The 24,294-nt window shown below is 42.5% G+C and overlaps 2 protein-coding genes across 24 annotated transcripts in view, besides 3 other annotated features; one reads left to right on the top strand and one right to left on the bottom strand.

Moving 5' to 3' along the window:
• OFD1 (OFD1 centriole and centriolar satellite protein) overlaps window positions 1-21,196 on the bottom strand; it is a 59,234-nt gene extending 38,038 nt beyond the window's left edge. For 9 of the 18 annotated variants that reach the window (XM_047442584.1, XM_047442588.1, XM_047442583.1 and 6 more), the window contains exons 1-2: window positions 19,907-21,196; window positions 355-453 (exon numbers count right to left, since the gene is read on the bottom strand). In XM_047442584.1, coding sequence (XP_047298540.1) covers window positions 355-453; window positions 19,907-19,939 — 132 coding nt within the window. In that variant the 5' untranslated portion in view covers window positions 19,940-21,196. Of the gene's footprint in view, window positions 1-354; window positions 454-617; window positions 954-19,906 lie in introns of those variants that run through there. The other 9 variants (NM_001330210.2, NM_003611.3, NM_001440947.1 and 6 more) reach the window with 1 other exon arrangement.
• Window positions 40-611: an enhancer, noted in NCBI's record as "H3K27ac hESC enhancer chrX:13753209-13753780 (GRCh37/hg19 assembly coordinates)". NCBI's record gives its function as "activates a minimal SCP1, AML or CMV promoter by ChIP-STARR-seq in naive H9 embryonic stem cells {active_cell/tissue: H9 hESC(naive)}" and the evidence as "EXISTENCE:reporter gene assay evidence [ECO:0000049][PMID:30033119]".
• Window positions 40-1,579: a biological region, named in NCBI's record as "CDK7 strongly-dependent group 2 enhancer GRCh37_chrX:13752241-13753440".
• Window positions 380-1,579: an enhancer, noted in NCBI's record as "CDK7 strongly-dependent group 2 enhancer chrX:13752241-13753440 (GRCh37/hg19 assembly coordinates)". NCBI's record gives its function as "activates an origin of replication core promoter dependent on BRD2, BRD4, P300/CBP, MED14 and CDK7 cofactors, with strong dependence on CDK7, by STARR-seq in HCT116 cells {active_cell/tissue: HCT116}" and the evidence as "EXISTENCE:reporter gene assay evidence [ECO:0000049][PMID:35650434]".
• On the top strand, window positions 1,081-23,456 carry TRAPPC2 (trafficking protein particle complex subunit 2). 6 transcript variants are annotated; one of them, XM_011545566.3, is made up of 6 exons: window positions 1,081-1,176; window positions 15,204-15,273; window positions 15,719-15,830; window positions 19,023-19,167; window positions 19,612-19,697; window positions 21,196-23,456. In XM_011545566.3, the coding sequence occupies exons 3-6, from the start codon at window positions 15,738-15,740 to the stop codon at window positions 21,292-21,294; spliced, it is 423 nt and encodes a 140-aa protein (XP_011543868.1). In that variant the 5' UTR covers window positions 1,081-1,176; window positions 15,204-15,273; window positions 15,719-15,737; the 3' UTR covers window positions 21,295-23,456. The 6 variants fall into 6 exon arrangements, with proteins under 6 accessions (XP_011543868.1, NP_001122307.2, NP_001011658.1 ...); NM_001128835.3 differs by lacking the exon at window positions 15,204-15,273 and adding an exon at window positions 1,516-1,651; NM_001011658.4 differs by lacking the exon at window positions 15,204-15,273 and adding an exon at window positions 1,516-1,657.

Below are 24,294 nucleotides of genomic sequence, written 5' to 3'. Positions count from 1 at the left end.
CCAAATGTATTACAAACCCACTTATTAATTTAGGAACCTATAAGCCATATTTATAAAACAAGCCTAATCTTACTGTGTTCATTATACAAATATTTCCTTCTCCTATCTTATTGTCAGTTCAATTAATTATTTGAATATGCTCCTTTAAGACGACTCAAACTCAACATTTTCTCAAACATTTTCAAGAGACTGTAATGTTTCAGGATACAGAGTTATTCGGGAATATAAAAATGTAATTCACCAATACAATCTATGTATCATACGATTATTAAAACCTAAACCTTGATTGAATTTGAACTACCTGTTACAGGTTACACTTGTAAAAGCTGACACAGATACGCCTAAATCCGATACCTTGAGTGTATCCAGTATACCCCGATCCTTAAACGTCTGGTATAGCTTTTTGCGCAGTTCATCTTGACTCAACACATCAGCCACGGTAAACATGTTGGACTAAAAGACAAAATGGTTATAGGTTACCTGCGGGGCAGAGGGAACGTGAACGTCTGAAAACAGACCAGTGGCCTCCGGGGAAGCCATAAGAGGCCTAGCGGCGAAAGTTTAACGAACACAAAACAAGACTTTATTTCCGCCCGAGAAGGGGCAGGTGTGTCTACCTGCGCCATCATCAGGCGTCAGCTCCCTCCGGAGCCCGCCTCGCTCGCCCCGCCGCGGCCCGAGTTTAGTGCCCAGCCCGGGCGGTGGGGCCAAGACGAGGGGGAATCCCTGCCCTCAGAACCCTGCCTCTGTCCCGAGGGTTCGGGAGGAACAAAGGTGCTGAACGTTCTCTGCCTCGCACTCCCAACTAGGTTTTCTAGCAAACACGCGAGCTTCCTTTCTTCGCGGTTCTGAGGCAAGGGCGAGGACCCAGGCACGACTCAAAGGCGGCTGGAGGGCGGGGACCCAGACACTAGGGACTGAAGGCAGCGAGGCAGGACCGCCTCACAGCCAGTCCGGCAACTTCCGGAAACCTGCTAAATATAGCCTTCCCGAGCTGAAGAGCTACGGCGCATGAGCTTGGTTGCCCAGCACCGGCCGGAAGCTCCGCCTACGTATCGCGAGAGCACATCCCAGGGTATCGCGAGAACTGCTTCGGCGTTCTGGCTACAGGTTCGGGGCGCGGGTCTCTTCCGCGGAAACTGACATTGCGTTTCCGTTGTCGGCCTCCCACTGCAGGTAGGGAATGGAGCAAGTGCGGCGGGGGGCGGGTGTTTTGAGTCCCTGGAGGACTTCGTAGCCCCTGCGTGACGCGGATGTTGGTCCTGTACCTCCACCCCTCCCCGGGGTGGCCGGGCCGGACCTGCCAGCCCTCCGCTGGCTCATCCGCGCAGCCCTTCCACCTGCAGACGTCCGCCCTCTCGGGGGCTGTGGTTTCGCGGTTCACTGGGTCATTCAGCTAACCCAGGGTTTCTTAACGGCTGCACTGTTGCCTTTTGGAGCCGGAAGATTCTTTGTTTTGGGAGGCTGTCCTGTGCATTGTAGGTTTAGCTGTATCCTTGCTCTCTATTTTGTCAGTATCACCTTCTCCCCCAAGTGTGACAACCAAAGATGTCTCCAGATATTGCCAGATGTCCTCTTGGAAGCAAGATCGCTCCGGGTTGAGATCCACAGAGCTAAACGTTTTAGAGTACCAACCATTGTGTGCTGTGAGGTAAAGGTGAGCCAGTCCTCATGATGCTTAAATGTAATTAGAAAGGAAAGGAACCAAACCTCTCAGAAGCGATAATGAAAATGTTACAGCCAGAGAATTGAACAAGAACTAAGATACATTGTAGACTGGATAAAGAGTTTAAAGGGGAGGTGGTTGAAGATGGAAGTGATCCAGATCATCTCTGTGGAAAAAGTGTGTCTTTATCGGGGCCTTGATGGGTAGGATTCGGGTGGTGAGCAAAAAGGAGAACATCACAGGAAGGGGAAAAATGAGCAAAGGAATCATTAAAAGAAAAAAAAAAGCCACGACCTTCTTGGGAGCAGTGAGGAATCTAGCCTGACTCCAGAGTTGTGTGCTGGGAATATAAGCCTTATATGGTATCTAAGTCCTGTGAGGACAGAATTGGATGTCAGCTTTGTGTACAGCATTGAAGATGAGTACGATGAGTTTTGATCTCTGGCTGTGAAAAACTTAAAGTATTTAAGAGGCAGTAAGAGTGACAGGACTTCATAGGAGGTGGAGAACCTGTAAGTTTTTGTTGGAAACAATGGAAAAGGAGGAGAGGCTTAGTTGGATTTTAAAGGATGGGTAGTGGTTGCAGACAGAATAAAGGAGAACATTCCAGGCATGAAGAGAGAAATGATAGTAGCTCTGAACTCGATATAGTCAAAGTGAATTTGGGAGAAAAAATAAGTAAACGAGTCAACGCTAGCAGAGGTGGAACAATAGGGCTGAGAAAAGACACGTGGAGCAATGTGGGAATCTTGAATACTAGTACATGATCCTGTAGCTGAGATGCATCAAAGGCTTTTGAGTGGAATGATGAAAACAGTGTTCTAAAAAGATGTTGATATGTTGTAAATGTTGTTAAGTAGAATCACTTGTCCACTGTTTAAAAAAAAAAAATGTTCCTGAAGACCCCCTTACTCCCACCTCCACCTTTGGTCCCACAGTTGAATACATGAATATAATTAGATAAAATGTTCTCCAAAAACTAGCATAACTTCTAGGGGAGGGAGAATTGCTTATAATATTAATAGAAAAATGTCACATTAAAGACCTATCAGTAGTATTCCTACTGCCCCTCCTCATTGTAATAGACATGTCCCATGCCATACCAGTTTAGTCTCATGACCCCAGGTTTATGGAACAACTGAAATCACTGCTCTCGCGAGCACAGGGCAGTTTTTCTAGAAGCTCTTCTATAGAGGTTGTAAAGAGGCATGCTACAAAAATGGATGTCTTTGGAACTGGAGTCCATGAGTTTTATCTTGCATTTGTCTACAACTTAAGAGACTTCCAAGTTCACTGAGCATCCTCCCACTCTGGCACTGTTGGTGTTCCACCCACCCCTTAGTTTCTAGTTTCCCAGTGACTTCAAATGAGCAGCCCTGGGCTTGGCCTATGGAACGGTTTGGAATAAGTCTGTGTAGTCCAGAGTCAGCAAATACTTGGCCCTCCTGTAGGTACTGCACTTCCCCAAATTCATAGCAGACATGGATAATTGATCACAGCATTCTTTCCTGGTGACCACATTTAGTCTCAGAATCTTTCTCAGCGCCAGTTCCTGGCAGTCACTACCAGTTGATTAGAATTCGCTTATGAAAGGAAACTCATTTGCCATCCCTAGCCAAGTCCCTTTTTCATTAGATAGCTTATCGTATTTAAAGATAGTACTGTGCTGTACCCCACTCCCTTTCCACCCCAAAAAGGTCTCCCCTACTCCGTTTAAACATCCTCTGTTACTTCAGTTGCTCTTGTCTGGTTTCCAGAGCATTTCCTAGCCTAGATCCTGCCCTCCCTTCCCCTGTAACACACAGAGTTATTGATCCTTTTACAATATGATTCCCAGAACTGAGTACCTTCCCCAAAGATGATAATATTATTGAAGAGGACATCAGCATTCTCCCTGACCTTGCTCTTAATGCCACCTAGAATTGATTAGCTTTTTTGACAAACCTATCAGACTTTTGCCTCTTACTGAGCTTGCAGAACTTTTGGGTTGATGTAGATGAACTGTTCTTAATCTAGGTTTCCCTTGTCCTTTTGTACAGTTGATTTTTAAGCCCAAGTACAGGGCTTGCTTTCTTATCCTCTTAACTTCTATCTTGTTAATTTCACCTTACTCTCCTAGCCATGGAGATCTTTTTTAATCCTAACTTCTGCCTTCTAATAAGTTAGCTGCCCTTGGTGTTATCTTTGAATGTGATAAGTTATCTTCATTCAAGTTATTGATTCAAATACTGAGCTAGACTAGGTTAAGGTCAACCTCAAAGCCTTACTAGAGACCCTGTGCCATAAATTGACACGGAGCACCCAATGTTCTCCGAGTATTGACACTCAAGTCGGCTATGAGCCATCCCTCATTCAGCAAATAATGAGTGCTTTCTGGGTCCCTGGCACTGTTGTAGCTCTAGGTATACCATAGTGAATGAGACGAATGGTGTATCTGCTCTCATGGAGGGCAACATTCTAGCAAGACTGTATTTTCACTCAGGCTCCAGGACTCCAGTTTGTTCTTAGGTAGATACCAAAATATTTCGTAAAATGACTTTCTGTTTACCTACCGTATCTCCCTTCAGAAACAAAAAATGTAAATTTGGTATGACTTGTTCTAGTACAACCAGGAGTATATGAATGAATAATCTGTTTTTATCTAGGGATTCACATTAAATGAGTTAATGTATAATAAAAGTGCCTGGCATGGCATCTGACTGAAAATAAACATTTAATACACGTTTCTGTTGGTGTTCTAGTCGCTCTGAATGTACCCTGTTATAGACTAGGAGATAAGCCTTTTTCCTGTTTCTGAAAATAGGAATAGCATTTAACCTAGCGGATGATATGGCATTTTTCTTGCAATTTCTCAAATGTCACTGATCAGCAGTTATGCAATCACATTTGTTAATCCAAGGTATATAATTTGTCAGGACCTGATGACTTGGATTTATTGAAATGTCTAGATGTTTTCTTTTTTCTTTAGTTATACTTTTAAGTTCTAGGGTACATGTGCACAACATGCAGGTTTGATACATAGGTATACATGTGCCATGTTGGTTTGCTGCACCCATTAACTCATCATTTACATTAGGTATTCCTCCTAATGCTATCCCTCCCCCAGCCCCCCACCCCCTGACAGGCCCCAGTGTGTGATATTCCCTGCCCTGTGTCCAAGTGATCTCATTGTTCAATTCCCACCTATGAGTGAGAACATGCAGTGTTTGCTTTTCTGTCCTTGTGATAGTTTGCTCAGAATGATGGTTTCCAGCTTCATCCATGTCCCTACAAAGGACATGAACTCATCCTTTTTTATGGCTGCATAGTATTCCATGGTGTATATGTGCCACATTTTCCTAATCCAGTCTATCATTGATGGACATTTGGGTTCATTCCAAGTCTTTGCTATTGTGAATAGTGCCACAATAAACATACGTGTGCTTGTGTCTTTATAGTAGCATGATTTGTAATCCTTTGGGTATATACCCAGCAATAAGTTTGCTGGGTCAAATGGTATTTCTACCTCTAGATCCTTGAGGAATCGCCACACTGTCTTCCACAATGATTGAACTAATTTACACTCCCACCAACAGTGTAAAAGTGTTCCTATTTCTCCACATCCTCTCCAGCATCTGTTATTTCCTGACTTTTTAATGATTGCCATTCTAACTGGCGTGAGATGGTATCTCTTTGTGGTTTTGATTTGCATTTCTCTAATGACCAGTGATGAGCATTTTTTTCATGTGTCTGTTGGCTGCATAGATGTCTTCTTTTGAGAAGTCTCTGTTCATATCTTTTGCCCACTTTTTGATGGGGTTTTTTTTTTTCTTATAAATTTGTTTGAGTTCTTTGTAGATTCTGGATATTAGCCCTTCGTCAGATGGGTAGATTGCAAACATTTTCTCCCATTCTGTAGGTTGCCTGTTCACTCTGATGGTAGTTTCTTTTGCCGTGCAGAAGCTCTTTAGTTTAATTAGATCCCATCTGTCTATTTTGGCTTTTGTTGTCATTGCTTTTGGTGTTTTAGTCATGAAGTCCTTGCCCATGCCTGTGTCCTGAATGGTATTGCCTAGGTTTTCCTCTAGAGTTTTTATGGTTTTAGGTCTAACATTTAAGTCTTTTTTTTGTTTGTTTTTTGTTTTTTGAGACGAAGTTTCACTCTTGTTGCCCAGGCTGGAGTGCAATGGTGCAATCTTGACTCACTGCAACCTCCACCTCTTGGATTCAAGCAATTCTTCTGCTTCTGCCTCCCGAGTAGCAGGGATTACAGGCATGTGCCACCACGCCCGGCTAAGTTTGTATTTTTAGTAGAGACGGGGTTTCTCCATGTTGGTCAGGCTGATCTTGAACTCCCTACCTCAGGTGATATGACCACCTCAGCCTCCCAAAGTGCCGGGATTACAGGCTTGAGCCACCGTGCCCAGCCCTAACATTTAAGTCTTTAATCCATCTTGAATTAATTTTTGTATAAGGTGTAAGGAAGGGATCCAGTTTCAGGTTTCTACATATGGCTAGCCAGTTTTCCCAGCACCATTTATTAAATAGGGAATCCTTTCCCCATTTCTTGTTTTTGTCAGGTTTGTCAAAGATCAGATGGTTGTAGATGTGTGGTGTTATTTCTGAGGCCTCTGTTCTGTTCCATTGGTCTATATATCTGTTTCGGTACCAGTACCATGCTGTTTTGGTTACTGTAGCCTTGTAGTATAGTTTGAAGTCAGGTAGCATGATGCCTCCACCTTTCTTCTTTTGGCTGAGGATTGTCTTGGCAATGTGGGCTCTTTTTTGGTTCCATATGAACTTTAAAGTAGTTTTTTTCAATTCTGTGAAGAAAGTCATTGGTAGCTTGATGGGGATGGCAGTGAATCTATAAATTACCCTTGGGCAGTATGGCCATTTTCATGATATTGATTCTTCCTATCCATGAGCATGGAATGTTCTTCCATTTGTTTGTATCCTCTTTTATTTCACTGAGCAGTGGTTTGTAGTTCTCCTTGAAGAGGTCCTTCACGTCCCTTGTAAGTTGGATTCCTAGGTATTTTATTCTCTTTGTAGCAATTGTGAATGGGAGTTCACCCATGCTTTGGCTCTCTGTCTATTATTGGTGTATAGGAATGCTTGTGATTTTTGCATATTGATTTTGTATCCTGCGACTTTGCTGAAGCTGCTTATCAGCTTAAGGAGATTTTGGACTGAGACCATGGGGTTTTCTAAATTTACAATCATGTCATCTGCAAACAGGGACAACTTGACTTCCTCTTTTCCTAATTGAATACCCTTTAGTTCTTTCTCTTGCCTGATTGCCCTGGCCAGAACTTCCAACACTATGTTGAATAGGAGTGGTGAGAGAGGGCATCCTTGTCTTGTGCCAGTTTTGAAAGGGAATGCTTCCAGTTTTTGCCCATTCAGTATGATATTGGCTGTGGGTTTGTCATAAATAGCTCTTATTATTTTGAGATATGTTCTATCAATTCCTAGTTTATTGAGAGTTTTTAACATGAAGGGCTGTTGAATTTTGTCAAAGGCCTTTTCTGCATCTATTGAGATAATCATGTGGATTTTGTCGTTGGTTCTGTTTATGTGATGGATTATGTTTATCGATTTGCGTATGTTGAACCAGCCTTGCATCCCAGGGGTGAAGCTGACCTGATCATGGTGGATAAGCTTTTTGATGTACTACTGGATTCGGTTTGCCAGTATTTTATTGAGGATTTTCGCATCAATGTTCATCGGGGATATTGGTCTAAAATTCTCTTTTTTTATTGTGTCTCTGCTAGGCTTTGGTATCAGGATGATGTTGGCTTCATAAAATGAGTTAGGGAGGATTCCCTCTTTTTCTGTTGATTGGAATAGTTTCAGAAGGAATGGTACCAGCTCCTCTTTGTACCTCTGGTAGAATTCGGATGTGAATCCATCTGGTCCTGGACTTTTTTTGGTTGGTAAGCTATTAATTATTGCCTCGATTTCAGAACCTGTTATTGGTCTATTTAGGGATTCAACTTCTTCCTGGTTTAGCCTTGGGAGAGTGTATGTGTCCAGGAATTTATCCATTTCTTCTAGATTTTCCAGTTTATTTGCGTAGAGGTGTTTATAGTATTCTCTGATGGTAGTTTGTATTTCTGTGGGATCGGTGGTGATATCCCCTTTATCATTTTTTATTGCATCTATCTGATTCTTCTCTGTTTTCTTCTTTATTAGTCTTGCTAGTGGTCTATCAATTTTGTTGATCTTTTGAAAAAACCAGCTCCTGGATTCATTGATTTTTTAAAGGGTTTTTCGTGTGTTTATCTCTTTCAGTTCTGCTCTGATCTTAGTTATTTCTTGTCTTCTGCTAGCTTTTGAATTTGTTTGCTCTTGCTTCTCTAGTTCTTTTAATTGCAATGTTAGGGTGTAGATTTTAAATCTTTCCTGCTTTCTGTTGTGGGCATTTAGTGCTATAAATTTCCCTCTACACACTGCTTTAAATGTGTCCCAGAGATTCTGATACTTTGTGTCTTTGTTTTCTTTGGTTTCAGAGAACATCTTTATTTCTGCCTTCATTTCGTTATTTACCCAGTAGTCATTCAGGAGCAAGTTGTTCAATTTCCATTTAGTTGAGCAGTTTTGAGTGAGTTTTTAAATCCTGAGTTCTAATTTGATTGCACTGTGGTCTGAGAGACAGTTTTTTGTGATTTGTGTTCTTTTACATTTGCTGGAGTGCTTTACTTCCAATTATGTAGTCAATTTTAGAATAAGTGCAATGTGGTGCTGAGAAGAATGTATATTCTGTTGATTTGGGGTGGAGAGTTCTGTAGATGTCTATTAGGTCCACTTGGTGCAGAGCTGAGTTCAAGTCCTGGATATCCTTGTTAACCTGTCTTGTTGATCTGATATTGACAGTGGGGTGTTAAAAGTCTCCCATTATTATTGTGTGGGAGTCTAAGTCTCTTTGTAGGTCTCTAAGGACTTGCTTTATGAATCTAGGTGCTCCTGTATTGGGTGCATATATATTTAGGATAGTTAGCTCTTCTTGTTGAATTGATCCCTTTACCATTATGTAATGGCCTTCTTTGTCTCTTTTGATCTTTGTTGGTTTAAAGTCTGTTTTATCAGAAACCAGGATTGCAACCCCTGCTTTTTTGTGCTTTCCATTTGCTTGGTAGATCTTCCTCCATCCCTTTATTTTGAGCCTATGTGTGTCTTTGCACATCAGATGGGTTTCCTGAATACAGCACACTGATGGGTCTTGATTCTTTATCCAGTTTGCCAGTCTGTGTCTTTTAATTGGAGCATTTAGTCCATTTACATTTAAGGTTAATATTGTTATGTGTGAATTTGATCCTGTCATTATGATGTTCGCTGGTTATTTTGCCTGTTAACTGATGCAGTTTCTTCATAGCATCAATGGTCTTTTACAATTTGGCCTGTTTTTGCAGTGGCTGGTACCGGTTGTTTCTTTCTATGTTTAGTGCTTCCTTCAGGAGCTCTTGTAAGGCAGGCCTGGTGGTGACAAAATCTCTCATCATTTCCTTCTCTGTAAAGGATTTTATTTCTCTTTCACTTATGAAGCTTAGTTTGGCTGGATATGAAATTCTGGGTTGAAAATTCTTTTAAGAATGCTGAATATTGGCCCCCACTCTCTTCTGGCTTGTAGAGTTTCTGCTGAGAGATCTGCTGTTAGTCTGATGGGCTTCCCTTTGTGGGTAACCCGACCTTTCTCTCTGCTGCCCTTAACATTTTTTTCCTTCATTTCAACCTTGGTGAATCTGACAATTACGTGTCTTGGGGTTCCTCTTCTCGAGGAGTATCTTTGTGGTATTCTCTGTATTTGCTGAATTTGAATGTTGGCCTGCCTTGCTAGGTTGGGGAAGTTCTCCTGGATAATATCCTGAAGAGTGTTTTCCAACTTGGTTCCATTCTCCCCATCACTTTCAGGTACACCAGTCAAACGTAGATTTGGTCTTTTCACATAGTCCCATATTTCTTGGAGGCTTTGTTCGTTTCTTTTTATTCTTTTTTCTCTAACCTTGTTTTCTCGCTTTATTTCATTAATTTGATCTTCAATCACTGATACCCTTTCTTCTACTTGATCAAATCAGTTATTGAAGCTTGTGTATGCATCATGAAGTTCTTGTGCCATGGTTTTTAGCTCCCTCAGGTCATTTAAGGTCTTCTCTACACTGTTTATTCTAGTTAGCCATTCGTCTAATCTTTTTTCAAGGTTTTTAGCTTCCTTGAGATGGGTTCAAACATGCTCCTTTAGCTCAGAGAAGTTTGTTATTACCGACCTTTTGAAGCCTCATTCTGTCAACTCATCAAAGTCATTCTCCGTCCAGCTTTGTTCCATTGCTGGCGAGGAGCTGCAATCCTTTGGAGGAGAAGAGGCACTCTCATTTTTAGAATTTTCAGCTTTTCTGTTTTGGTTCCTCCCCATCTTTGTGGTTTTATCTGCCTTTGGTCTTTGATGTTGGTGACCTACAGATGGGGTTTTGGTGTAGATGTTGTTTTTGTTGATGATGATGCTATTCCTTTCTGTTTGTTAGTTTTCCTTCTAACAGTCAGGTCCCTCAGCTGCAGGTCTGTTGGAGTTTGCTGGAGGTCCACTCCAGACCCCGTTTGCCTGGGTATCACCAGCAGAGGCTGCAGAACAGCAAATATTGCTGCCTGATCCTTCCTCTGGAAGCTTCATCCCAGAGGGGCACCCGCCTATATGAGGTGTCTGTCGGCCCCTACTGGGAGGTGTCTCCCAATTAGGCCATACGGGGGTCAGGGACCCCCTTGAGGAGGCAGTCTGTCCGTTCTCAGAGCTCAAGCACCACGTTGGGGGAGCCACTGCTCTCTTCAGAGCTGTCAGACAGGGATGTTTAAGTCTGCAGAAGTTGTCTGCTGCCTTTTGTTCAGCTAAGCCCTGCCCAGAGAGGTGGAGTCTAGAGGCAGTAGGCTTTGCTGAGCTGCAGCGGGCTCTGCCCAGTTCGAGCTTCCTGGCCACTTGTTTACCTACTGAAGCCTCAGCAATGGCGGACACCCCTCCCCCAGCCAGGCTGCTGCCTCACAGTTCAATCTCAGACTGCTGCGCTAGCAGTGAGCAAGGCTCCGTGGGCGTGGGACCTGCCGAGCCAGGCATGGGAGAGAATCTCCTTGTCTGCCGGTTGCTAAGACCTTGGGAAAAGCACAGTATTTGGGTGGGAGTATCCCATTTTTCCAGGTACAGTCTGTCATGGCTTCCCTTGGCTAGGAGAGGGAAATCCCCCGACCCCTTGCACTTTCTGGGTGAGGCGACGCCCTGCCCTGCTTCAGCTCGCCCTCCATGGGCTGCACCCACTGTCCAACCAGTCCCAATGAGATGAACCAGGTACCTCAGTTGGAAATGCAGAAATCACCCATCTTCTGCGTTGATCACGCTGGGAGCTGCAGACCGGAGGTGTTCCTATTTGGCCATCTTGGAACGGATCCCTAGACGTTTTCTTAATATACCTATCTTGAGGTTCGCAGCCTGCCTAACCTTGTTTCTTCCATGCTTGCTATTTGAAAAGTCATTTAACAGAGAAAATGGAAGTTAAACAGGTCAGCATCCACCATTATTTCAGTGTGTAGCAAGCGCTTGAAGCAGTTGACCCTTCTCCCTTGCTTTTTCCTGATCGTAGCCTAAAAAGCCTCTTTTTTTTTTTTTTTTTTTAAATATATATTACACACTTCAACTCATTGTAGGCCTTTGCCCTTCTGATGCTAGCCTCACTGATTTCTGGTCCCGTTTTTATGTTCATTACTAGTTAGTGTCCTACTTCTTACATCTTCCATGTGGCCTCTTTAAATTTAAGGTAGTCAGAGAGCTCTTTGTATCACCAAGTTTATTTCTTTAGTCTTCTCCTTCTCAAAAGCCCAGGTTTCCCTAGCCACTGAAGACAGCTGCTGTTTCCACCACAAGTGAGAGTTCTGGCTCTCACTTGAGAGCCAAACAAGAATCTGTTTCCTTGTACTTTCCAGCTTCTGGGGGCCTCCTGCATTCCTTGGCTGTGGCCCCTTCCTTCATTTTCAAAGCTGTCAAGATCACATTGCTGTGACCATTCTTCTGTCACTTCCCCCTGACTTTCCTCTTTTGCTTCCCTATTCTACTTTTAAGGCCCTTGTCATGACATTGGGTCCACCTGGATGATCCAGGACAATGTTCCTATCTTAAGGTCAGCTGATGAGCAACCTTAATTCCTCTTTGCCGTGGGCCCTAACATACTCACAAGTTGCAGAGATTAGGATGTGGATGTCTTAGGAGAGGGGCCACTGTTCTGCTTGTTCACCTCAGCTAGACATATGGAAACCATCCTAGATTCTCCTCTTGTCCTCAATTTCCCAGTTTAATCTATTCCCAAATTCTGTGTAGCTACCTCCTCAACACCTCTGGGCCAAGCCTCTCTTGGAGATGCTTCAAAGGCCCCTATTTAAGGCGATGGGAAAATCGAGCAGACCATACATACACAGTCATGTCAACGCAGGTAATTCAGTAATGGCAGTTGCTTTATCTGTATTATATATTGGAATTCTAAGTAATACTTGTTTTTGTTGGTGAAGGGAAGGTGGAGGAAGTCACAGAACTTTTATAAAACGTTTGGAATCAGGCCGGGCATGGTGGCTCATGCCTGTAATCCCAGCACTTTGGGAGGCCAAGGTGGGCAGATCACTTGAGGCCAGGAGTGTGAGACCAGCCTGGCCAACACGGTGAATCCCCGTCTCTACTAAAAATACAAAAATTAGCCGGGCATGGTGGCACATGCCTATACTCCTGGCTACTCAAGAGGCTGAGGCAGGAGAATCTCCTGAACCTGGGAGGCGGAGGTTGCAGTGCGCTAAGATTGTGCCACTAGTTTGGAATCATTGATCTAGAGCTGTGCTGTCTAGTACTGTGGCCACTAGCCACATATGGCTATTTATGTTTAATTAAAATTCAGTTCTACATTCTCACTAGCCACATTTTTTTTTTTTTTTTTTTGAGATGGAGTCTTGCTCTGTCACCAGGCTGGAGTGTGCAGTGGCACGATCTTGGCTCACTGCAAGCTCCGCCTCCCGGGTTCACACCATTCTTCTGGCTCCGCCTCCCAGGTTCACACCATTCTTCTGCCTCAGCCTCCCGAGTAGCTGGGACTACAGGTGCCCACCACCACACTCGGCTAATTTTTTGTATTTTTAGTAGAGATGGGGTTTCACCATGTTAGCCAGGATGGTCTCGATCTCCTGACCTCGTGATCCGCCCACCTTGGCCTCCCAAAGTGCTGGGATTACAGGCGTGAGCCACCGCGCCTGGCCTACACTAGCCACATTTCTAATGCACACTAGCTCACATATTGGACAGCACAGGTGTAGAACATTTCTGTCCTCGCAGAAAGTTCCATAGATTGGACAGCGCAGAATCCTAGCGTGTGTCTTACCTTTGCTCCATACCCTCAAGTATTTGCTAAGTGTTTGCAGCTGTTCCCCTCCCGAGACAATGAGGTCATTTTCTCCCAGGGTTTTCAGTTCTTCCACTTCACCTGTCAGTTTTTCCTTGGCAGAACTGAATGAAAAGCTACAGCCCTTCTTGCTTCTTCAGCTGTTTACAAAATCAAATAATTGGCAGCTGAAGTCAAGCATGGAATGTATATAAAGAAAGCTCTGTCTCATCTTTTGCGCAGCTGGGTAGTTGGTAACAGCATCCTCATGCAGTCGGTCTTTGAGTTCCCTTTCTGTCTTCCTGCTGACTTAGCGCCATGCTGCTTGCCCATTCGTGGCTTTCCATATAGGGGTGAGTGTGGGGATGCATGTTATCTTGCTTATACATATGTGTACATATATTTCCTTCTGCTGCTGCTTTTGCTTTTTTTTTTTTTTTTTTTTTTTTTTGCTGCTGCTTAAATGTACTGAAGAAAGTAAGAAGCCCTTCCCTTGGCAAACTCCAGCTCTGAAATCTAGTCCAGCAAGAATTCATGATATCATTGTTTACTTGGTTCAAATTTCAACTCCCTGTCCTTCCCTTCACTTTGGAGAATTATTGCCAGTTCTTCTAGTTTTGCATAGCTTTTTTATCATTCCAGCTCGTCTTTGTTATCCACTTTTTCTGTTTGGACCTTTTTCTTATCTTTCCCCTAAAACAGGGGCAAACATTTTCTTTAAAGGGCCAGATAGTAAATATTGTTGGCTTTGTGGGACAGCTGGTCTGTGTCACAGGTGCTTAACTCTGCCATTGAAGCGTGAGAGCAGCCTTAGATGGTCGCAAAATGATGGGCAAGGCTAGATTTGGCCTGCAGTCTATAGTCCCCCACCCCTCCACCCCTGCCCCAAATAGCATTTTAAATCTTACGTCATCATGCCAGGAGTTCTGATCTGCCTTTTCTTCCATAGTCATGGCCTTCCAATTCTAGAGTTAAAAGTGCCAGCTGTGCCTTGATTTCCTTTATAAAATGTGTCATTCATTAGCAAGTACATATCAGATTTCTTCTGATTTCATTGTGTGTTCTGTGTGAATCAGCAGAAGGCCCAATGAGGCTTGCTAAGTCTTGGCTTCTAACACACCTCAGATGTATGTTCTAGGAGACTGACTGTAACTCCCGGTTTACTTGATTTCCACTCCGTGTTGAGAAGTTACTAGTCACCACATCCCAGTGTGCATACGGTCTCCCATGTTATTCCACTAACATTAATTGAGCATGTACTGTGGGTCAGACACTGTACTGGGTACTTTACATGCATTAGATTGTGTGATCCTCATAAGTGCACCATAAGGTGCTACAGTGTTAGCACTATTTAACAGATGAGAAAACGGACATTAGGAAGTTAAGGACTGCCTGTGGTCACACTGCCAGTAAGTAGCAGAGCTAGACCTGAACCTAACTTTGACTCCAAAGTCCTTGTGTTAAAAATACACACCGTGGGGTTACCTTGGGGTAAATCCATCCATGCCCCCACCCATCCATCATTCATCTAGATTTCAATTATCTGTGCTAAAAGCCATGGAATCACTTATATTTTTCCCCCCAGTTTCTCGTAGTTTCATCTCTTCTGCCAATCTGTTTTTTTTTTTTTTTTGAGACAGGGTCTCATTTTGTCACTTAGACTGGAGTGCAGTGGTGCGATCTTGGTTCACTGCAGCCCTGACCTCCCTGGGCTCAGGTGATCCTCCTGCGTCAGCCTCCTGAGTAGCTGGGACTACAGGCACATACCACCATGCCTGGCTACTTTTTGTATTTCATGTAGAGATGGAGTTTCACCATGTTGCCCAGGCTGGTCTCGAAGTCCTGGGCTGAAGCAATCTGCCCATCTCAGCCCTCCAAAGTGCTGGGATTACAGGCGTGAGCCACTGCACCGGGCCCAACATGTTAAACTTAGTTCCAAGATCTTTCAGTGCCTCAGAATGTCTTCCTTTATGGATTATTTCTTCCATCTTTTCTAGAATACAAAACTCTTCCTTTCTTATAAATTGGTATATAAAGAGGCATATCATAGGCTCTTAGATTTGCAAAGACTTACATTTATAGCACACATACTTCAAGTAGAAAGAAGACAAATACAGCACACGCAGTCTGCGAATCAGTGATACAGTGTCTGTCCTTTCTAGGTAAGTGACATGAGGTAGAGTTGGTTTTAGCTTCCCCCGACGGATGCCTCCTGGAAATTTCTAAGGCAAGGTAATTACTTCCTTGGTCTTCCCACTACTCTGTATTGTCCTTGACTTACCACCACCTTCTGTTAATCCTTCTAGGTGTCCGTGCTGCTACTAACTGGTCCAGTCCAAATGAAGCCCAGCTTACTCTACCAGACACTTAGGGCCCCTTGAGCTGAATGAGCCATATTTTCAGATCATGAGAATGTTGTCTTTGTGATTTCATGTTAGAGGTCTTCCAGTTTACTTAAGAAAATACATTAGATTCACAGATTCATATCATAGATACATAATTTGTTTATTCCAGAAGCTACGTATCTTCGCTAGTATACTGGAAACTGCCAAGCTTAGTAGCATCTTCCTCTACAATGTCAGGTTTAAATTTAAAAAAGAATTCTACACTTCCCATTAGTCATTTTTTAATTTGAAGATTGACTACTAAAAATATGTACTATTTTTCACTTAATTAGGAGCCATATATTGAAGACCATGTCTGGGAGCTTCTACTTTGTAATTGTTGGCCACCATGATAATCCAGTTTTTGAAATGGAGTTTTTGCCAGCTGGGAAGGCAGAATCCAAAGTACGTAAGAATTTTTATGCTATTGTAATGATATGGTATAATATGATTTTAGAACTGGAAGATCTGGACAGATAAGGTAACTGAAATCCACCACAATTAAATGAGGCTTGCTCAGGAGCCCACAGACTGATAGAAGCCAGCCAGGGTATGTCCTTGGAGATGTTTATTCATCCTTTAGTTCAGCACAGACTAGCATGACGCTCTGGCATTCCCATCATACTCAGTTCACTATGTCACCCACCATGAATTGCTGTTGCTTAAGCACATAAAGACATAGTTCACCTGTAGTGGATTGCCGCCTTGAAATACCATGAAAGTCCAGGCTGTTTTCATGAATCATGTTTTTCATCAGGACCTACTGGGTTAGAAAAGACCCTTACTTCCCTGTCTTCCTGCTGCCACTGGGTCTGCAGCACCTCACTTCAGGGGCCTTCTGCAGCACTTCCTGGCTGGGTTGAGCCTGTATGCTCCCCTCCCCAGTGACACCTTGGCCATACACAGGAAGCTCAAAAGCAGCACCAGAGGTGATACCACCCAACTTGCTTGTCAAGAATGGTTCCAAAAACCAAGCTTAGCTCGAGGACATATTGCCATTCAGACCCATAGAGTATTTTTTTTTTTTGAGACAAGGAAATGGACCATATATTTTAAGAAAGATTACCATCCCAAATGCTTAAAATAAAACCATTTGGATCTTATTTATTTATTCTTTTTGAGACAGAGTCTTGCTCTGTCGCCCAGACTGGAGTGCAGTGACACGATCTCAGCTCACTGCAACTTCTGCCTCCTGGGTTCAAGCAATTCTCCTGTATTAGCCTCCCAGGTAGCTGGGATTATAGGTGCGCACCACTGTGCCAGGCTAATTTTTGTATTTTTAGTAGAGACAGGGTTTCGCCATGTTGCCCAGGCTGGTCTCGAACTCCTGACCTCAGGTGGTCTGCCTGCCCTCGGCCTCCCAAAGTGCTGGGATTGCAGACATGAGCCACTACACCTGGCCCAGACCTGTAGAGTTTTGACACGAGAAGAGCCCAGTTCTTTCCAATTTCTGTTTCTAATAAATTGCTGACAAGTTTGCTATGTTTCTCCCAACCTCCAAAAATTGGCTTTAATGTCCTTTAAGGAATTGATGTTTTAAGTTAATTGTAATGCATAATATATGGTATTTTTCAACTATTCAGGCCTTGCCACCAAAATAAGATAGGCATTTGTTTACGGGATTCTCTATGAGGTGGAGTTGTGACATTATTTTCTCATATTATGAGAACACTACTCATTAAAACTTGTTTTTGAGGTATCTCTGTACCAGTACTGCTTTGTGGGATGCAGCTACTTGTATGTAATTTCTGTGCACTCCACTGCCCTTGTGTTGGACAAAGCACACATAAAAATACTTTGTTGCATAACTTGATTTTAGTTCTTTCTCCTGCTACCACTCACTTTCTTAAAGCGTTTTCAGTTTGCTCCTAATTCTTCAGGATTGATCATCATTGTAAAAGAAAACACTGCTGTGAGCCAGACACAAAAACATCCATTTCTCTAAGGATTCACTTAGCTTTGTCATGGCAACATGAGTGAAGTAAAACATGCTTTAACTATGCATGGGATTCCACGGCAACGGGCCGCCCTCCTCCAGCCCAGGCATGAGAACAGCCTCCTTGGCAAGGAAGCCGTCTCAGTTTCCTATGGCTGTTGTAACAAAGTACGAAAAACTGAGTGGCTTGGGACAGCAGAAATTTATTGTCTCAGTTCTGAGGGCCACCATCTGAAATCAAGGTGTCAGTGGGGCCATGCTCCCTATGAAGGCACAAAGACAAGGGTCTGTCCAGGCCTCTCTCCCAGCTTCTGGGAGTTCCTTGGCTTGTGGCAGCATAACTCCAGTCTTCATGTGGCATTTTTCTCCCTGTGTGCATCTCTAAATGTTCCCTTTTTCTAAATACACCAGTCCATTGGATTAGGGGCCCACCCTACTCCAGTGTGACCTCATCTTAGCTAACCACATCTGCAACAACCCTCTTTCCATATAAGGCCACATTCTGAGGTACTGTTGCTTAGGACTTCAACAAAGGAATTTTAGAGAGGAAACACTTCAACCCATAACAGGTATTCTTTGAAAAATGGCTTGGGTTTTTTTGAGACGGAGTTTTGCTCTTGTCCCCCAGGCTGGAGTGCAATGGCGTGATCTCGGCTCACTGCAGCCTCCGCCTCCCAGGTTCAAGCAATTCTCCTGCCTCAGCCTCCCGAGTAGCTGGGATTACAGGCATGCACCACCACAGCCGGCCAATTTTTGTATTAGTAGAGATGGGATTTCACCATATTGGACAGGCTGGTCTTGAACTCCTGACCTCAGGTGATCCACCTGCCTCAGCCTCCCAAAGTGCTAGGATTACAAGCATAAGCCACCGCGCCTGGCCAAAAAATGTATTTTCAAAGAACTACATTGGAGTAAGACTGCATTCCAAGTTCTGAATTCCGTCTTCACATTATGGTCAGACAGTCCCACCTTCTGTTCACTTAAGCCATTTCAGCCCAGGAAAAGGACACTCCCAGCTCTGACAGGACTGTGTCCTGCTATTGACACAGGCGACTGCTCACAGCTGGGGCTGAGCATCACCTCCCACTACTCCTAGGTCCCGCTGTCATGTAAGCTCCATGCACTGGAAAGAGGCCTCTGGCAGGCCGTTATAAGCGCCATTTCAACTGTCTCTACTGCTTACCTGGTGCCACTGTGCAGGAAGCCCCGCCCTCTCAGTTTCCTCCCAGACCTTGAGGCCTAGTGTGAATGGCACCTCTTCTCCACAGGATCTTGTTTTTTTTTTTTTTTTTTTTTTTTTTTTTTAACATAGTATCCTTTTTTTACATGTTTAGATGGTTACAGAATTCGGTAACTTCCTTCTTGAAACATGAAAAAAAATTTATATGAAAAAGATTTTCAATAAATGATTTTGTATAAATCCTCTATATACACATTTCATTTATTAATTGGCTGTTTCTGTTGAGATGTAGATATCAAATTTAAAAATAGAATATAATATGAAAACAGATCTTTTATAAGTCTCATGACAATAACAAAGTATAAAAGCAAACTGTTTTTTCCCCACAAGAAAACCATCTATAGAATTTACAGAATGAAATGTCAGCATTCTCGATGCCATATGCAAATGTTAATCTGTGGTTGCTCACACTGTCATCTAGGACGACCATCGTCATCTGAACCAGTTCATAGCTCATGCTGCTCTCGACCTCGTAGATGAGAACATGTGGCTATCGAACAACATGTACTTGAAAACTGTGGACAAGTTCAACGAGTGGTTTGTGTCGGCATTTGTCACTGCGGGGCATATCCTTACCTTCTTAGTAAAGGTAACTAACTAAAGTTTGGGCTCACAAACCAGAAGAACATGGAACATAGATGCCAGGCTCTGAGTCTGTAGACTTCACAGTCAGGTGAAAATGTAAGTTTCCATTTATGGGGCTACTTTTCTTTTTTTAGGGGGGAAAAACATTTTGTTTAATAGCTAATTTTAAAACTAAGTCTCATACACAAAAAGAGTTTATCTGGACCCTATCAAGGGTGATTTTACTTTATTTTACAGTTATTTTCTAACTTTGAAAGCTTATGTTCTCTTTATGATAAAACTAAGCTAATTTTAAACCCAGTTTATATATTCAACTTTTCCATCACAAATACACTGCATGTGACTAATTTGAAGAATACTGTATCAACGAACTGGTTGCTTTTTGTTTTTCATTTCTAAGAAAGATTATGCCTTAATTATTTCACATATGAGGTTTATTATGCTTCATGACATAAGACAAGAAGATGGAATAAAGAACTTCTTTACTGATGTTTATGATTTATATATAAAGGTATGGTATGTTCTATAATTTTTAAATTCTGATGAGAAAGGATTCGACCTTTGTCAGGAAACTGGCCTATTGAAGTAACTCCCTTAGGCTGCAGTTTACCTTTCAGACTAGCTTTCCCCCATCAGAACTATCTCTGGCAACTCCCTCCGCAGGTAAGTCTTCACAGCCAGGTGAATATGTATTTAGGAACACAACTTCATGGTAGTTACCTTTAGATGATTGTGAAGGTAAATTGGTTTCATTCTTCACCTTGTTGTCCTCATAGCTGATTTTATTAGGGATCCCTAAAGACAGCAAGAAAGCAGCCTATATAAGGGAAAATTACTTCATAATTTAATCTAAAATGTTTCCATCTACTTTACAAATAAGTTACAGTGCAATAGAGATCATAAACTGGCAGGAAGTGATTTTTATATGATCAAATAGCCACTCAAGAAGAATGGCGCCACTTGCATTTCTTGATTTTGAAAAATAAAATAATAATAGGACGTCATGGTTACACTGCAGTGATAACAATAGTATGTTTTGTTTTGGAGACAGTCTTGCTCTGTCACCCAGGCTGGAGTGCAGTGGCGTGATCTCAGCTCACTGCAACCTCTGCCTTCCAGGTTCAAGCGATTCTCCTGCCTCAGCCTCCCAAGTAGCTGGGACCACAAGTGTGCACCACCACACCCAGCTAATTTTTGTATTTTCAGTAGAGACGAGGTTTTGCCATGTTGGCCAGGCTGGTCTCAAACTCCTGACCTCAAGTGATCCACCCGCCTTGGCCTCCCAAAGTGCTGGGATTACAGGCGTGAGCCACCATGCCTGGCCCATATGTTTTTAATAATTTAAATAAGTTCTGTATTTGGACAGAATTTCTTGCATATCAGCACAGTAATACAATTTAACAGTATTCCTAGTCAGAGGTAGTAAGTAATATTTAGCCCTCTTATAAAGATGAACAATGTCAAGTGATTAAGGTATAAAAATCAGCAATGCCTTTCCTCATTAGTGATTCCATTTAATGATTTTCTGTCATGCGTTATGATACACTAATTTGAGAAGCTGATCATTTAGCAGTCTTGTGTTAAAGGAGAGTATTAAAAACCTGATTGTTAAAAGATTACCACACAAGAATAGCTTTTTCTGAACTCTGAGCACATGGCAGATTTTTTTGTTTTATGTAGCCAAAGGGCCATAGAGATTAATCCATTTATTTATAATGAATATGAGTATTTCACACACACGGTAAATTCTGAAAGTTAACTGACACAGGCAACATTTATCATACTGCCATTAGTTTTGCCACAGATACTTCTCAAAACCAAAACACCAAAATAAAAATTTCCTTAAGAGGATGTTATTAACAATGCAGCATTTTCAATAAAACTTAAAAATGTGGTCTTTAGACTTTGGAATGTCTTTGGTTTTTAATTTAAAACTTTAAAATGATTTCCTTTCAGAAACTTAAGATTTGTCAGCTTTTTTGCTTCACTAATACTTTCTTCTTTCCTAGTTTTCAATGAATCCATTTTATGAACCCAATTCTCCTATTCGATCAAGTGCATTTGACAGAAAAGTTCAGTTTCTTGGGAAGAAACACCTTTTAAGCTGAATGCAGAAAATTCCAAAATAAATGATGTCACCACAATGGTGTATACTCAGGAATGTGTACATTGTAAGTTACTTGATTAAATAGCCTGGAAAACTTTTGTGTATTCTCAGCTTATCTAAACCTAATGAAATTCCTTTTATATTTAAAAATAGTACATTCTGTCTCATGTCACGTATCAATAGATCAATTGGTATTTCCTTGTGAACAGTGTTATTTATAAAGAGTTCATTATCAATAATCATGTTTTTTTTTTTTTTTTTTTTCTGATACAGAGTCTCACTCTGTTGCCAGGCTGGAGTGCAGTGGCGCAATCTTGGCTCACTGCAACCTCCGCCTCCCAGGTTCAGGCGATTCTCCTGCCTCAGCCTCCAAGTAGCTGGGACTACAGGCGCGTGCCACCACGCCCGGCTAATTTTTGTATTTTTAGTAGAGACAGGGTTTCACCATATTGGTCAGGCTGGTCTTGAACTCCTGACCTCGTGATCTGCCCGCCTTGGCCTCCCAAAGTACTGGGATTACAGGCGTGAGCCACCGTGCCCAACCATGAAATATTTTTACTTAAAAATTGGGAATAAGCTCGCTTTTTTTTTTTTTGAGATGGAGTCTTGCTCCTGTTGTGCAGGCTGTAGTGCAGTGGCACGATCTTGGCTCACTGCAACCTCCACCTCCCGGGTTCAAGCAATTCTCCTTCTTCAGCCTCCCGAGTAGCTGAGATTATAGGCGTGCACCACCACACCTGGCTAATTTTTGTATTTTTAGTAGAGACAGGGTTTCACCATATTGGTCAGGCTGGTCTTGAACTCCTGACCTCGTGATCCACCCACCTCAGGAAGTGCTGGGATTACAGGCGTGTGAGCCACCACGCCCGGCCATGAAATATTTTTACTTAAAAATTGGGAATAAGCTTTTTGGTTTTTTGTGGGTTTTTGTTTTTGTTTTTTGTTTTTTGTTTTTTTGAGATGGAGTCTTGCTCCTGTTGTGCAGGCTGGAGTGCAGTGGCACAGTCTTGGCTCACTGCAACCTCCACCTCCTGGGTTCAAGCAATTCTCCTTCTTCAGCCTCCCGAGTAGCTGGGATTACAGGCATGCACCACCACACCTGGCTAATTTTTGTGTTTTTAGTAGAGACGGGGTTTCGCTATTTTGGCCGGGCTGGTTTCAAACTCCTGACCTCAGTTGATCCACCCGCCTCAGCCTCCCAAAGTGCTAGGATTACAGGCATGAACCACCGTGCCCGGCCAGGAATAAGCTTTTGACTTACCCAATTCAGATAGGTTGATCTTTGGGGTTTTTTTTTTTTTTTTGAGATGGAGTTTCGCTCTGTTGTCCAGGCTGGAGTGCAATGGCAGTTGTTTCACCGTAACCTCTGCCTCCTGACTTCAAGCAATTCTCCTGCCTCAGCCTCCCAAAGTGCTGGGATTACAGGTGTGAGCCACCGTGCCCGGCCCAGATAGGTTGATCTTAATGTAACAACCCAAAAATAAATGTCATAGTCAAGATTTGGTAGATAAATTTAAAATTAAAATATTCTGCAGTTGGGAGTGAAATGTGATAGCACATACGTTGACATTATGCATTTAGAGATGTTATAAAAATGTATAGGCAGTATACACAGCACTACTCAAGAAGCCAAAGAAACACTTGTGCAGTGCTAAGTGTCACATGTCTGCTTCCACCAGAGGCTAGGAATAGTGATCCTGCTATAATGTGAGAACCCAAATCATGTTTATAAAATAGGACGCTGGGAGCAGTTGCAGGCCACAGTGAAGTGTGTTGCTTCTGTCACTTTATATTCTTATATTTCCTTTCCCTCAGACAGTAAACTGTTGATACTCGTACTTGTAAAAAATTGTAAGGCAATTTTTAGTATTGTTGTCAAAGAAAAGCTTGGATTACATTAACATTTGTATTCAGTCTTTTAGGTGATACACCAGAGGGGGCTGGGAATTGTCTCTTTGTTCCTATAAGTAGATCTTAATGTAAAATAGTAAATGTCCATTGAAAAGCAAGTAATACAGCCTGTGCTAATTGGGAGCACTTGAACAATTTTGTTCCATTCTGAGTAACTTTTGAGCAAGTAATTCTAAGCTTTGTCTTGTATCCTTGTGTGAAATTGCATAATTTTTACCCTATTTGATTTCTTAAATAAAGATGTTTGCTCAAGATCGTGGTAGTTTAATATCCATTTTTAAAGTGCTGCTTTCGTCCTATTTCTCCTATTGATAGTCTAGTCTGCAAACTAATATGATGTCTTCACCTGTTATAGAGCTCAGATTGACTCAAACTAGATGCCAGAGCTTTGGGAGCAGAAAAATTTACATACTCATCTAGAAATCTAGGAGTAATTTCAGCAAACGTGTATTTTTTTGTATATAGTTGGCCCCTCCCTCAATGAGCATATCATCCAGAGGGCTGTGATGCAGGGCAGCCAAGAGCAGCAGGGTGATTGATTGAGAGCAGGAAGACTTGGCTCAGCTGCACAACAGTGGTACCCTGAAAATAGCCTTTTCTCCAGGCTGGTGAAGGTGAGGTAGGCACTAGTAACACACTTGTGAGTATATTACTAAAGTTAAATGCCAAATTTCATGTGTGACTGAGTCTTCAAAGGAGCTGGAAGGGAAGTGGAGCATTGAGTGGGACCTCCAAGGTAGGCTGCACAGGAAAGCATTGCAGGTGTGAAGGTGTGAAGAGCACTTGGGCACATGGGTGGAACTGACAGCTGATTGATTGATAGATAGATAGGAGCTGATCATGAGGAAAGCTAAGCTGGCAAAGCTTGGATCTGGTAGGTGATGTTCCTTGAAGGTTCTGGAACACAAGAGCAATGGGGTGAAGTCAGTCTTAAAATCAGGCTCTCCTGAGCACATGTATGTTAGCACAAAGTTGGTTATCTGCTTTAGTGCTCCAAAAGTGATCCAGATAAAACGTACACCGAGTTTTGTCATCTTGCCATAGCCAGAAACTTACTAGGATGCTTCCTTTGGCATGGACATAGATCGTC

This window comes from Homo sapiens, chromosome X (assembly GCF_000001405.40).
Source record: "Homo sapiens chromosome X, GRCh38.p14 Primary Assembly".
Taxonomy (NCBI): domain Eukaryota; kingdom Metazoa; phylum Chordata; class Mammalia; order Primates; family Hominidae; genus Homo; species Homo sapiens.
This window is presented reverse-complemented; position numbering and strand designations above follow the sequence as displayed.

Bases quoted from the DNA above. Each gene is read 5' to 3' on its own strand.
- TRAPPC2 (NM_001128835.3), top strand. From the start codon at position 1,569: ATGTCCTCTTGGAAGCAAGATCGCTCCGGGTTGAGATCCACAGAGCTA. The intron at 1,652-15,718 runs GTAAAGGTGAGC...TCACTTAATTAG, and splicing joins CAACCATTGTGTGCTGTGAG to GAGCCATATATTGAAGACCA. The intron at 19,698-21,195 runs GTATGGTATGTT...CTTCTTTCCTAG, and splicing joins TTTATGATTTATATATAAAG to TTTTCAATGAATCCATTTTA.